A 14,868-nucleotide genomic window follows, 5' to 3' on the forward strand; every position below is an offset into this window, starting at 1 on the left:
GCTATGTGGCCATTTTAGGCAAGGCTTAGGGGCAACTATTTTTATCCAAGTAAGGAGTGGGGTTGAGGTTTGCATTTGGCCATTTCAAATCACACATCATGTCAACCACAGTCCCATGTCTCCTTCACAAATGGTCAGTTCTGCATTAGTCAGCATAATGGGATAAACCCTAGTGATGGAATAGGCCCAAAACATAGCAAATTGACAGACTGGGCTACCTGAATCCGAATGCAGAAGCTTTGAAAGTAAAAACAAAATCTTTTGCAAATCGAGTTTATTCTTTCCTTACCTTTCAAAGTTTTATTTTTCTAGAAACACCACACATATAAAAATACCACCATCATCAGGGATGATGTGATCTATTTATGTGAAGTTTTCAGATAACTGAAGCCTTCCTGCCCTCCAAGAAGCCAAAACACACAGTTAACATTTATTTTATCCAGAAAGAAAAGAGAACTTCCAACACCTGAATTTGTAACGGGCTTAGTTAGGGAACAACTATTAATTGAAACTCTTTCCTAATGTTTAGCAATTTCTGTAACAATGAGTTTGAAGGTTCAATACTGGACATCAAGTTGAAATTTAATAAAGAGTATTTCAATTTAAAAAAATCAGAGAAATATTTATAGCATATGTTATACCTCTTTGTCCATTCTTAAGAAATGATTTTGCATATAATTTAATCCAGTTTTAATGGTTTGGATTCATACTTACACAAACCAGCTAGTTTACCCTGTTGTAACACAGTGTTGCCCTCTGAAAGCTACTGAGAGGTATAAAGTGGTCTGTCTTCAAATTAAAAACTTCCAAATTGCTATGTTTTGCGACTTCTTGTATTTTCTTTTCCTTTATATTTTTATACTCTTTTGCAATCAAGTTGTAACATAGCCCTTCATGTTATACCTATATGCCTGTCTATACTTACCCTATACAAATTTGGCAAATTACTTCATCCTTCTGATAGTTAGAATCTAAACTTTAGTTTATGAAACTGTAAAATGAAGTTATTAATATTATTTGACTTTATAGGGTTGTCAAAAATTCAGTGAAATAATGTGTGAAAAAAGGATTAGCACAGTGTCTGGCAGCTAATAACACCCAATAAAGGTTAATAATAATAATAATAATAATAATAATAAGCTGTAGCAGCAGTAATCTCATTTTAATTTATTCTTTTTAATCACCTGTGAATTGGGAAACTGAATAGGTAAACATGCTAGAGTTGTGTAGAGGCTGAGAAAGGGGTCTCATACCGAGAAATCTACAGTGCATCGATTTTACAGCATTGGTTTTTCACCACTTGGGAACTTTTATCTATTCTTCCTTGCTGGGATATAGATGGTTTAGTTTCCAGATAGTACTCTAGAATCAGGACTGGAGGCACCTGAGCAGGAAGATTAGAAGATTAAAACTGGAATTGTGAAGCAGCCAAGATAGATGTTTAAAAAGTTCATGGACTAAAGCACTGAAAAGTGTCTTGCCTACAGGAATATTTATTCAGTGTATAAACACAGAAACCTTTCCTTCCCCAGCCCCCTACACTAAACAGCAAAGACCGAATTCACCGTCCTTAAGTACAAGTTCAAACTGCCTAAACATAGAGAATTATTCTTTTCTGGGTGGAAAAGGCAGCTACACAGACTTTTGTCAAAACGCCTAAAGTGGTTTCAGCATCCTGAATTAGTTAAGTGAGAACAGGAAAGTAAGAATAAGAAAGTAATCACATCCAAATTTTCATCATGTTTCCCCTACACTGTAATTCTTCTTCATACATTTACAATATGATGGAATGTATGGATCCTTTAGAACGGTCATGAAAATATTTTAAGTAAATGAGATTTTGTTAACTATGCAAATGAATATTTCAGGGAGAAAAGAGACAAATATGCTCATTTAACAGATATAAAAAGACTACACACTAATAAGAAATATTCAGGCTCAGTTATGTTAATAAGCTACATATGCTGATTGTTAGCTTAGGGAGAAAAGGAAAGAAAAGGTTGAATGCAATGCAGTTCTACTTTGTACATTCCACTGGCTCATAATTTTCTTTCGTCGGCAAATATACAAACTAAATGTTTTAGGTCTCTCCCAGGGTCTTCCTCCCCTAAGCTGGCTGGGCTGCATCTTTAAGCAACTCCAGCTTCTGTCCCTCCCTTTTCCCACTCTGAAAAACAGTCAATGGGACAGTTTACCCTACAGGTCTCTGGCGCAAGGCCCAGTCACCCCTTGGGGGCAGTCCCATCCTGGTGTGTGTTTTATTTAACATATTATTCCTATGGTTACATTATAGCTTGCAACACTTTCTTAAATTTAACCTATAATGTGATTAGTACAGAATGAAACTTTTCATTGTCAACAACACCCCATAATATAGCACTGGGGCAACAGGAGTTCCCAATTTCTCTGGAAGTTAGAAGGCTGACCAAAAATTCTCTTTACTCATAAGGCCAGGACCCAGAGGACCTAGTAATGGTATGGAAACAGAGTCTATCCCACACAGGAGTCAAAATTTGTCACTCATCTCCCTTTACGAAATTTACAACCTTCTCACTTTATTTCTTATCCCATACTTAGGAGGCTTTTCCGCTTGATCAGCTGTCACACTGGGAAAGTAAGGCCCTACTGAAATACTAACTCGTAAGACTTTAAAAAATCTTTCTTGGGGGTGTGTGCATTTTCATAGGATATTTTGAAAGACTGCAATCCATTCAAGACTCTTCTGTTAGGAGAGATACCCTTGGTCAGAGATATCATTTTGGTGTCCTTCAGATTACACCTTGTCAGTGGCCTTATATTTGATTTCCTTATAAAGTTGACCCAATATGGCCCCTAGTATTAGCAGCAGATATGCTTAATGATTTTAATGCTCTGATTTCACTAAATCCTTGTGAAGGCACCAGGGTGCCTTAGTTTCCTCACCAGGGCTGAGGAAACTGCCATCACAGCCTAACCACGGAATGCGGGACTTTGCTATAACCCCACTTCTGGGGATGCACTTATTGTAGAGATCTGTCCTTCTCCTCTACTTCCTGGACCTCTTACTCTCTGAGGCCTACCAATGCTGGCTCACCCAGAAGTCAGACTAAGTTTAAGCTGATGGTACCAGCAAAGCAGGAGAGATGGGGAAAGACAAGATGGAGGGAGAAGCGGGGAGATGAGGGGCTACAGATGGAGAGAAGGAGAAAGGGAGAGAGAGAAAAAAAGAGGGAGGGATATGGGGAGAAAGAGAGGGTAGGGGAGAAGGCGAGGAGAAGGAAAGATAATATCAGGAAATCTAGAAAGGAGCTTAAAACCTCAGCATAGGTACATTTTGGTCAGTGAAAGATAAAATTTAATTTTATAGTTTAGCATTTTAAAAATTAGATAAAATAATGAAGCATTATCTTTTAAGTGTTTAAGCTTACCTCTACAGGTCTTAATTAGTCCATAGTGGGTGATATGGTCTTTAAAGGTTTGCAGACTGCTGAAGGAGTGATGGTAGAGCCTCAGTGGGACTGAAGAGGACAGTAAGAGTGTAGAAGTGGAAGATGTAGGAGTGACTGTGGTGCTGAGGAGAAAGAATACCAAAATTGGCCATTTTTCTGTGTGCTACAAATAAGATATCAGTTGTTAAAGTGCTTTAAAAATGTGCTAATGGAAAGAACTCAAGCTTTGAAGTAAGGCAGGACTAGTTTCAATTCCCACCTCTGCTGTTTGCTAGTTGTATCTAGTTGTATGGTCTTGTCCAAGTTGCTTAAATTCTCTGAAACTCATTTTCCTCACTTGGAAAATAGGAGATAACAATGGGTAATTACTGAGTTGCTGCGAGGATTAGAAATAATGTTAGTATTTAATAATAGGCATTTTCTGAGTTGTAGCTTATGATAAAAATCATATTGACAGTGGAAAGAATTGTCATTGATTTTCATGTCAGCTTATCTAGTGCATTCAAGCAAAATTCTTCTCAATTTTTTCCATATAAACTCAACATAATATGATTGCTCCAATATGTAGATGCTCCTCATCTTATGACTTACAATAGGGTTATGTCCTGGTAAAGCCATTGTAAGTTGAAAATATCATAAGTTGAAAATGCATTTAACATACCTAATCTACGGAACATCATAACTTTGCCTAGCCTATCTCAAATGTGCTCATAATACTTACATTAGTCTACAGTTGGGCAAAATCATCTAATACAAAGCCTGTTTTATAACAAAGTGTTGAATATCTCATGTAATTTATTGAATATTGCACTGAAAGTGAAAAGCAGAATGATTGTGTGAGTATAGGAAGTACGGTTTCTACTGAATGCATATTGCTTTTGTATCATTGTAAAGTCAAAAAATCGTGTGTTGAACCATCATGAATCAGGGACTATCTGTATTTTGCTTTCCATAATGTCAATCTACATTTCTTCTTTCTCACCTTCTTTCTTCAAATATTTATTGAGTATTCAGGTGGTTAAAGTCACTGTGCTGTGGTTGTCTATATGCACGTGTGGGTGTATGTATGTGTGAGGGGGTGTGATGTATGTGTTTGTGATGCATATGCTGAGTGAGGAATACAAAGATGAATGCTCTTGGAGCTTTTTCTCAAGGAGTTTACAGGCCAGTGGAACAGGAAAAATATGTACTTTCCTATTAATATGCAGAAATCTCTCAGTGCTAAATGTTATGTGAGAGATAAAGATAAAGTCCTCCAAAGGTAGAAAACTTGTGGATGTGGTGGGGTGTGGTAGAGAGGAGTGAGGGGTGAAATTTTGGAAAGCTTAATAGAAGAGGTGGCTTTTGAGTTGAGCTTTTGAATTTGAATTTGAGAGAAGGGTAAGATTTGATCATCCCAGTATGAGGGTGAATTTAGAATGGATGAAGAAAAAAAAGCAACTCTGCTGCTGTAAAGATACCTGAAAATGTGGAAGCGACTTTGGAACTGTGTAACAGGCAGAGGTTGGAATAGTTTAGAAGGCTCAGAAGAAGATAGGAAAATGTAGGAATGTTTGGAATTTCCTAGAGACTTGGAGGGCTCAGAAGACAGGAAGATTTGGGAAAGTTTGGAACTTCCTAGAGACTTGCTGAATGGCTTTGACCAAAATGCTGACAGTGATATGGACACTAAAGTCCAGGCTGTGGTGGTCTTAGATGGAGATGAGGAACTTTTTGGGAACTAAAGGTGACGCTTGTTATGTTTTAGAAAACAAACTGGTGGAATTTTGCCCCTGCCCTAGAGATCTGTGAAACTTTGAACTTGAGAGAGAGAATTTAGGGTGTCTGGTAGAAGAAATTTCTAAGCGGCAAAGCATTCAAGAGGAAGTAGAGCATAAAAGTTTGGAAAATTTGCAGCCTGGTGATGCAATAGAAAAGAAAAACCAATTTTTCTGGGAAGAAATTCAAGCCTGCTGCATAAATTTGCATAAGTAACAAGGAGCTGAATGTTAATCACCAAGACAATAGGGAAAATATCTCCAGGACATGTTAGAGGCCTTTGCTAAAGGCCCTCCTATCACAGGCCTCAAGGCCTAGAAGGAAAACATGGTTTTGTGGGCTGGGCCAGGGCCCCTCTGTTGTATGCAGCCTAAGGATCTGGTGTCCTGCTTCCCAGCTTCTCTAGCCCTGGCTAAAAGGGACCAAGGTACAGCTCAGGCTGTGGCTTTGGAGGGTGCAAGCCCTGATCTTGGCAGCTTCCACATGGTGTTGAGCCTGTGGATACACAGAAGTCAAGAATAGAGGTTTGGGAACCTCTGCTTAGATTTCAGAAGATGTGTAGAAACATGTGAATGTCCAGGCAAAAGTTTGCTGTAGGGGCAGAGACTTCATGAAGAACCTCTGCTAAGGCAATGTGGAAAGGAAATAAGAGGTGGGAGCCCCCACACAGAGTCTCCACTGGGGGACTGCCTAGTGGAGCTGGGAGAAGAGGGCCACCATCCCTCAGACCACACAATGGTAGATCCACCAACAGTTTTCATGGTACACCTGGAAAAGCCACAGACCCTCAACACCAAGCCATGAAAGCAACCAGGAGGGGAGCTGTGCCATGCAAAGTCACAGGGGTGGAGCTACCCAAGGCTGTGGGAGCCCACCTCTTGCATCAATGTGCCCTGGATTTGAAACATGGAGTCAAAGGAGATCATTTTGGAACTTTATGGTTTCATGACTGCCTTATTGGATTTCAGACTTGTATGGGGCCTCTAGCCCCTTTGTTTTGGCCAATTTCTCCCATTTGGAGTGGGTGTATCTACCCGATGCCTGTACCCCCACTGTATCTAGAAAGTAACTAACTTGGCTTTGATTTTATGGGCTCGCAGGTGGAAGGAACTTGCCTTCTCTCAGATGAGACTTTGGACTATGGACTTTTGAGTTAATACTGAAATGATTAAAGACTTTGGGGGACTGTTAGGAACTCATGATTGGTTTTGAAATGTAAGGACATGATATTTGAGAGGGGCTGGGGTGGAATGATGCAGTTTGGCTGTCTCCCCACCCAAATCTTATTTTGAATTATAGCTCCCATAACTCCCCCATGTCGTGGGATGGACCTGGGCAGAGATAATTGAATCATGGGGGTGAGTCTTTCCAGTGCTGTTCTCATGATAGTGAATAAGTCTCATGAGATCTGATGGTTTTATAGTGGGGAGTTCCCCTGCACAAGTTCTCTCTTCTCTGCCACCATGTAAGATGTGACTTTGCTCCTTCTTGCTTTCTGCCATGATTGTGAGGCCTCCCCAGCCATGTGGAACTGTGAGTCAATTAAACCTCTTTTCTTTATAAATTATCCAGTCTCTGGAATGTCTTTATTAGCAGCATCAGAACAGACTAATACAATCTCCAATGAAAGAAATCATGAGAACAAAAGCAAAGAGATTAGGAACTTCAGCTTGTGAATGGGGGAAGCAACAGTTCAGTTTGGATAAAACCTAGGGTACGTGAAGGAAATGTGTAAGTTCATAGACATAAAATGTAATACAGAGCTACTCAAAGAGAAAGTTGAGTTTTAGCAGAAAGATGACAATAAAAAGCAAATATTTTATATGTTCATGGTCAAGAAATATGTGATTCTGGCAATTTCTAACTGCTCTAAATATTTTATTAATTTACTAAGATCCTAGCATCCATTAATACTCCCTCACACCCAGGAACACCTGGTAGATTTTTAATATGATCTATCAGGTGATCTTCTCTTTTAATGTTTCCTAGAGCTTTTGAATGTATGTTTTCTTAACACTGTAATCCTGGCTGTGATTTCCCTCATGTTCAGAATGATTAAATTTTCCTTCACCTTTGAGTCAGGTATTAAACAGGCATAGATGTCCCATGCTAACCCCAGCATGGACCTCTTGGTTTAGCTCTTTTATCTCAATCTCTTCCTGTAGAATATTTACATAACCAAATTCCATTTCCCCCTTTCCTTCCACTCCATTTCTGAATTATTTTGTTCTTGTCACTACCCTGTTTGATTTTTTAGCAGAACTGGATTATCTAAAACTGCATTCTTTGTGTGTACCCCTGACAGAAAGAGAGGCCCCTTCTTAGTTTCTGATTATTTCTTGGCTGAAAGACTGAAGCAGAAAATATCATTAGTGAGGAGTCACATCAGATTCCTGGGACATTTGTATGTTCTTTATGGGTGCCAGCAGAGCTGACTCTATCAGCATGTGCAAAAGGGAAGGATTACACTGATGAATTATTTGTCAAAAAGTGAAAAGGCATTTTGGTTTTCTAAATTTTTAGAGAGAACTTAGTGATTTCTTTTTTCCAGTTCTCTTTAAGCAGGCTAGGCAGTACTCATGGGCACTTTTTGCTTTCAGCATTTGTATAACCCATTTATAATGCAATGCAGTCACTGTGCTACATCAGGGCCACAGCAGTAGACAACAGTATAAAAAATAAAGATTGTGATTTTAAAAGAACTACTTAGAGACTTTTCTGGCAAGTTTCACCAGAAACTGTTAATCATGGTGACTCTGGGTAGTGGAGATTGAAGAGACTTTTACTTTTTATTTACATTTTTCTGCAGCAGTTGAATTATTTTAAAAATACGAGTACACATTTCTTTTATGGAAAATAGGAGCCTTAGTACCTGGCTGTGGCCTCATGTGCAGGTTTATTTATTTGGTATTCAAAACCCTCTAGAATGCAGCCCTATCTTCCCTTTCTGGCAATGCTTCCTTTCACTTTTACCTATACACTACTAGTCTTGTTAGTCTCTACATTGTGCCACCCACATGGCGCTTTCACCCTACCTTTTTTACATGGCTATGCCCTCTGACTGGCTTTCGACCTTTAGAAATTTGATCCTTTTTTCTAGGCCTACCACAGAAGCTGCCTCTTCCAAGCAACCTTTTGAGAGATTTTTAGCCCACCACTCACCCTCTATCTATTCTGTGCTAATGTTGCAAATGCAGCCACATTGAATGTAGTTCTCAGTTAGTACCTAATTATTTCCTGTATTAGTATTTTCTGACTAGTTACAGGAGCCAAATTCTTGTTCTGCCACAGCCTAGCTGTGTGATTCTGGGCATGTAGCAATCTCTCTGGGTGTGTTTCCTCATCTAGAAAATGAGGGATGTTGGGAGATCTCCTAAGTGCTTTCTATTTCTAACAAACTAGGATTTTCATATTTGTGAAAGAGACTTTAAAAATTCCAAAGCACTATACAATAAAAATTTGTATTAGAATTATACTGTTTGTATTTCCTGCAGCTCTTACGTTACCAAGTAAAATACCTGTATCTCTGACAAACTGTTTGTACAAAATGTCTTAAGATTTAATAAAAATTCTTTTTGGCTTGAACTAAAGTCCAACTTTCCACAAAAGAAAGTATATTTTTCACATATTAGAGACACAGATTTGAACATGTTTCTTCTATTGTCAGTTTTGCATTTCATTTTTGAGCTGACAATCACTTGAACATATTTTGATTAATGTAGAATTTGCATTAACGAACCATTTAAATGCCCTTTTTACATCAAGCCTGACAATTTAGAAATGTCCTAGTATCATATATTGGCAATCTTTCCTGAAGAAATTAACTCCTCAGAAATGACAAATAATATTACTGTCCCCATGCATTATCTATGGGAATAACAACATTATCATCATCAACAACAAAGCTAACACTTCCATAGCACTTACTTTGCACTAGGTACTATCCTAAGCTCTTTACATATATTAATTCATTCAGTTCTCTCAACAACACTGTAAGGTAAGCATTTCCCCTTCCATTTCATGGATGAAAAAAACCGAGGCCCAGAAAGGCTAAATAATGTGCCAAGAGGTCACATAGCTGGTAAATTGCAGTGATGGGACTTCATCTCAGGAAATCTGTCTTCATATTCTCTGTTCTAAGCTATTAAGCTAAGCCGCTTTCAACTCTGCTCTCAAATTTCTGTGTGACCATGGATAAGCCCCTTTCTTTCTGAGTCTTATATGCGTCTCTAAAAGTGGAGAGATTAAATTAGTCAGAGATTGCAAACTGATCACCCATGGGCTCGATGTAGCCTGCAGATATGTTTTGATCTGTCTGTACTTATCTTAAAGTTGATTAAAAATCAGGGGATTCCACAAAACAATCCATACTCCCAATTTCTCTTGAAAAGCTGGGAAATCTGGCCATACTATGCCCATGTTCCCACATAGCAAGAGCCAACAAGAACTTAGTATATACTGGTTGCTTCCTTTAGCTGGGGAACAACTCTAGTTTTCTATGGTTCTACCACTCCCTAGTTGCATTAAAACTACCTGCTTTACTCTTTTGCTTTCTCTACCTGGTTCCTTGTATACATTTGAGCCGGAGCTCTAATATCCCTGATATATAACTTTTACAGTCTCTTTTAGCTTGAAAATTTAATGTTTCCATGTGTAGTAAAAACTTACTGTAGTTGCTACTGATACACATAACTGCATAGATGACCCTTTAAGACATAATGTCAAATGAAAGCAGCCAGAAACAAAAGAGTAAATGTTATCATTATTTGAAGTTCAAGAACAGTCAAAGCCTGACAAAACAAGCAATGGGGAAAGGACTCTGTATTTAATAAATGGTGCTGGGATAACTGGCTAGCAATATGCAGAAGACTGAAGTCAGACCCTTATATTCAGCATATACAAAAATTAACTCAAAATAGATCAAATATTTAAATGTATGACCTCCAACTATAAAAATCCTAGAAGACAATCTAGTAAATACTCTTCTTGACATTGGCCTTGGCAAATAATTTTTGGCTAAGTAATGAAAAGCAATTGCAACAAAAACAAAAATAGACAAGCAGAACCTAATTAAACTAAAGAGCTTCTTCAAAGCAAGTAAATTATCAACAGAATAAACAGAGAACCTAGAGAATTGGAGAAAATATTCACAAACTATGCATCTGACAAAGGCATATCTGGAATCTATAGGGAACTTAAGCAAATCAACCAGCACAAAACAAATAACCCCATTAAAAACAGGCAAAGGACATGAACACACACTTCTCAAAAGAAGACATACAAGTTACCTACACACATATGAAAAAATGCTCAGCATCACTGACCATCAGGGAAATGTAAATAAAAACCACAATGAGATACCATCTCACACCTGGCAGAATGGCTATTATGAAAAAGTCAAAAAGCAACAGATGCTAGCGAGACTATGGAGAAAAGGAAATACTTATATACAATTGATGAGAATGTAAATTAGTCTAGCCACTGTGGATAACAGTTTGGCAATTTCTCAAATACTTAAAACAGAGCTACAATTTGACCTAGCAATTTCATTACTGGGTGTACCCAAAGGAAAATAGATCATTATACCAAAAAGACACATGGACTTGTATGTTCATTGCTGTGCTATTCACAATAGCAGAGACATGTAACCAACCCCGTGCCCATCAATGGTAGATTGGATAAGGAAAATGTTGTTCATATACACCATGGAATACTATGCAGCCATAAAAAGAATGGAATTCTGTCCTTTGTGACAACATGGATGGAGCTAGCTGGAGGCCATAATCCTAAGTGAATTAAGGCAGTAGCAGAAAACCAAATACCCCATGTTCTCACTTATAAGTAGGAGTTAAACATTGAGCACACATGAACATAGAAATAGGAACAGTACACACTGTAGACTAATAGAGGGTAGAGGGAAAGAAAGGCGGGAGGTGTGGGTTGAAAAACTACCTGTTGGGTATATGATCACTATTTTGGTGATGGGATCCATACTCCAAACTTCAACATCATGTATTACTTCGATGGAACAAAACAGCACATGCATAAAATAAAATAAAAGCTGAAATTGGAAAAAAAAAAAAAGAACAGGAAGATCCACTCAATAGTGCTGCAAGTCAGAAGAGTAGTTACCTCTGGGGATGAGGGAGTATTGACTGAGGAATGAGCAGAAGAAACTTTTCTCAGTGTGGGTGATGGAAATAATCTATATGTTGATCTGAGTGGCAGTCACATAGGTATACACATATCTTAAAAGTCACTGAAGATTTGTGCATTGTACTGTATGTGAATTGCACATTGCATTTTGAGCAAGATGCTTAAAAAGCAATGGTGTCCAGGGGTTTCCAAATGCTAGTCCTCAAAGGGTGGCATCAGAATAATCTGAGATATTTTCTTTTTTTAATTTTTTTATTATACTTTAAGTTCTAGGGTTCAAGTGCACAACATGCAGCTTTTTTACTTATGTATACATGTGCCATGTTGGTGTGCTGCACCCATTAACTCATCATTTACATTAGGTATATGAGATATTTTCTTAAAAGCAAATTCCCAGGACCAAGGTAAGACATACTAATTCAAAATCTCTGTAGGTAGGGCCTTGAGATTGTATGTATTTTAACAAGTTGGCTGGTCTAGCTGACTCAAAGACACTTGTCAGGACCCTCTTGAATACCTTTGGAGAAGTGTAAGCAAACGTCTTATTTGCTCCTCAGAACAACACATGAGATAGGTGTCATTATTTCTATTATACATGGAAGTGAAATGAGGCTTGGGACAATCAAGGAACTTAACCTCAGTGATAAAACTAGCAAAAGATGGATACAGATTTAGAGACAGCCCCACTTAACTTCAAAGACCAGGTATTTCCATGACAATGCATTGCCTTCTAAAAACAGTCATTATGGGCAAAGTGTTATCCCTACTTGTTGATTAAAGATGTGTAGAGTCAGAGCCCTGAAACAGCATATCTTATATAACTTAGCAGAGTTTGCTTTTTAAGTATCTTGCTCAAAATGCAATGTGCAATTCACATAGGAGAGTTTGAACCCAAGTCTATTAATATATCCAGGACCTATTTCTCTGATGCCTTCAGTGCCCCTCACTTTGCCCCTGAAAAGAGTTGGTTTTTTACAACTGGAGTTCTGCTTGAGATCTGTTTGCAAAATATTTTAAAGCCCGACTGCACAAAATACGACAGTTTCTAAGGTTACAACATAGAATAGCTTTTTCACTGCATTTTGTACCTTGAAAAACCCTGTAATTAGAGAATGTTCATTAACGATGGAGTGAAAATGAATAATGTAATTTCAATATTTCCAAAATTCTAACATTTATGGAATAACTAAAACTTGTTTGATTCTAATTTTTTCAAAAATAAAATCAACTCTGGTGGTATATGTGTCTACTTTAGAAGGGATCTGTGGGTCTTCAGATGTCTATCCTGTCTCCTAAATTGTCACCTTCACCTCAGTTCCACTGTCTGAAATTTGCCATTTTATATTTAATATCTCTCTTTTACTAAGGAAATATATTCTTTTGCATTAAACATTGTCTCTGTCTGGGGTTGAATAGTGACCTCTTGAAATTTATGTCCACCTGGAGCCTCAGAATGTGACTTTACTTGGAATAGGGTCTTTGAAGATATAATTAGTTAAGATAAGGCCATACCGGATTAAGATGGGCCCTAAGTTCAAAGACTGGTATCCTTATAGGAAGATCATGTGAAGACAAAGAGACACACACAGAGAAGATGCCCATGTGAAGATGAAGGCAGAGATTAGAGTGATGCATTGACAAGCCAAGAAATTCCAGGAGCCATGAGAAGCTAGAAGAGGGAAAAAAATTCTTTCCTAGAGCTTTCAGAGGGAACATGGTCCTGCTGACACTTTGATTGTACTCTTTCAGCTTCCAGAACTTTGAGAGAATACATTTCTGTTTTTGAAGCTACATATTTTGTGGTAATTTGTTATGGCATCCCTAGGAAATTGATACAGCCTCTTACATCAAGTCCTTGAAGACAGGTGCCTGGATGGGGCATTCTATGAAGTCACTGGCACTTCAGTGGGAAAGCACTGGATTAACAGGTAGGAATCACTAGGAGGGATAAAAGGCCTTTGAACAGGAAACAAGGAAGGGGAGAGGAAAGATGATCACATTTTGCTTATTGCACAATTGAAGACCAGCCCTGTAGAGAGTAACCACCAAAGACTCTGTCAAATGCCTGGACCCAGGCCAGCTTTCTGTCCTATACCAATATGGAGTCAACAGTGAGCAACTGTTGCCCTGGCTAAGTGCTCAGGAACTAGGAGTTGAAAACAACTTGCACACCTTGGAGACAAGAGCCCTTGTCTTGTCTTGGCCAGTCTTTTCCCTCCTCTGAAATCATCACTTGTAAATGTCTTGTTCTCAGGGTGATTTACATGCTTACAAAGAGTTTGGCAGGCAGGACAATACTCTCTATGTGGCCCCTATTCCTCTATCTCAATCAGAATTGGAAAATTTACTATTATCTTTTTAAATTGCCATTTGTATTTGTTTGTTTGTCTTTGTGAACATTCATCTATCTGTTTTACTACCCATCCCCTGCTCCCCTCCATCGCATGTTTTAGCAATGCTTCTCTAGACTTGACTAGACTTGGTTTTGTTTTCTGCATCAAGTGATGTTTCATTTTGACCCAATACCCAGGGGAGTGGGGATGACCAGGGGTCTTAGGCTCTGCTTTACTTTTTTGCTGATTAGGCCAGAGCAGGGTGGCTGTTTCTAATTCATTTTACAGTTTGCTGTTGGTATAATTTATCTCCCTGAGAAAGTCCTCTCATTTGTTTGCATTTTCACATTTCAAGCACCTCTATCTTGTCTGAGCATCAGGGTAGGTGGGTGGCCATCACAGGTACAGACTTGTCACAAGTACAGATATATCTGATTGTATTATATCCAATTTTGTAGGTTGCAATTTTGCTACCCCTGTCTTCATAGTGGACCTTCACTAACCTGGAACATGGTTTCTAAGGTAGATATGTGAAAAATGAATGTAGAGACCTGTCACATAAGAGAGCTGTTGGTATGACATGAAAAGACTGGCAAAGATACCTTTTCTTATCTCTGCACCAAAGAAAACAAAAAGCTGCTTACTTAACAATTTTGTCTATGGTTGATATGACAGTAGCATTCAGCTGCGTGCTCAGGTATGCCTCAATTGTTTTGTTCTTAGTTCCACACAATGTCTATGAAACAATAATTTATAATGGTGATTGAAGAGCATTAACTAGCATATATTGCTTTCCTTGTCTACATTTTGGTTACTAAAGCCATGCTTTTCTGGAAGGAAGAATGAGAAATTTACTGGTTTAGGAGTCAAGAAACATGTTTTTTTGCTAACTGTGAATCTCCCACTATTAATTCAGCCTCCTGTAGTATCCTGTAATATGCTTTAAAGGGAATCACCAGTGTTAGTTTCTCTTTTCCAATTTGGTCTGACAAAGCCCAGGCCTGAAGTCTTTGGGGAAAGAAAAGTTTAATGGGCATAGTGCTGGTCTCTAAATCAAAAGATCTCCATTTCAGAGGAGCATGTGATTCACAGATCTTATTTTCTTTCTAACAATTTCACTATCAGACATTACACGAAATATTTATTTGTTTGAATTCATAGAATGTTACCTCATTAGACCAAAAAAAAAAAAA

General features: G+C 38.2%; 1 long non-coding RNA gene across 1 annotated transcript in view; it reads left to right on the forward strand.

The window, feature by feature from the left end:
- LOC107985670 (uncharacterized) overlaps positions 1-14,868 on the forward strand; it is a 68,935-nt gene that overhangs the window by 6,591 nt on the left and 47,476 nt on the right. The window lies entirely within an intron of this gene.

Source organism: Homo sapiens, chromosome X (genome assembly GCF_000001405.40).
Source record: "Homo sapiens chromosome X, GRCh38.p14 Primary Assembly".
Classification (NCBI taxonomy): Eukaryota; Metazoa; Chordata; class Mammalia; order Primates; family Hominidae; genus Homo; species Homo sapiens.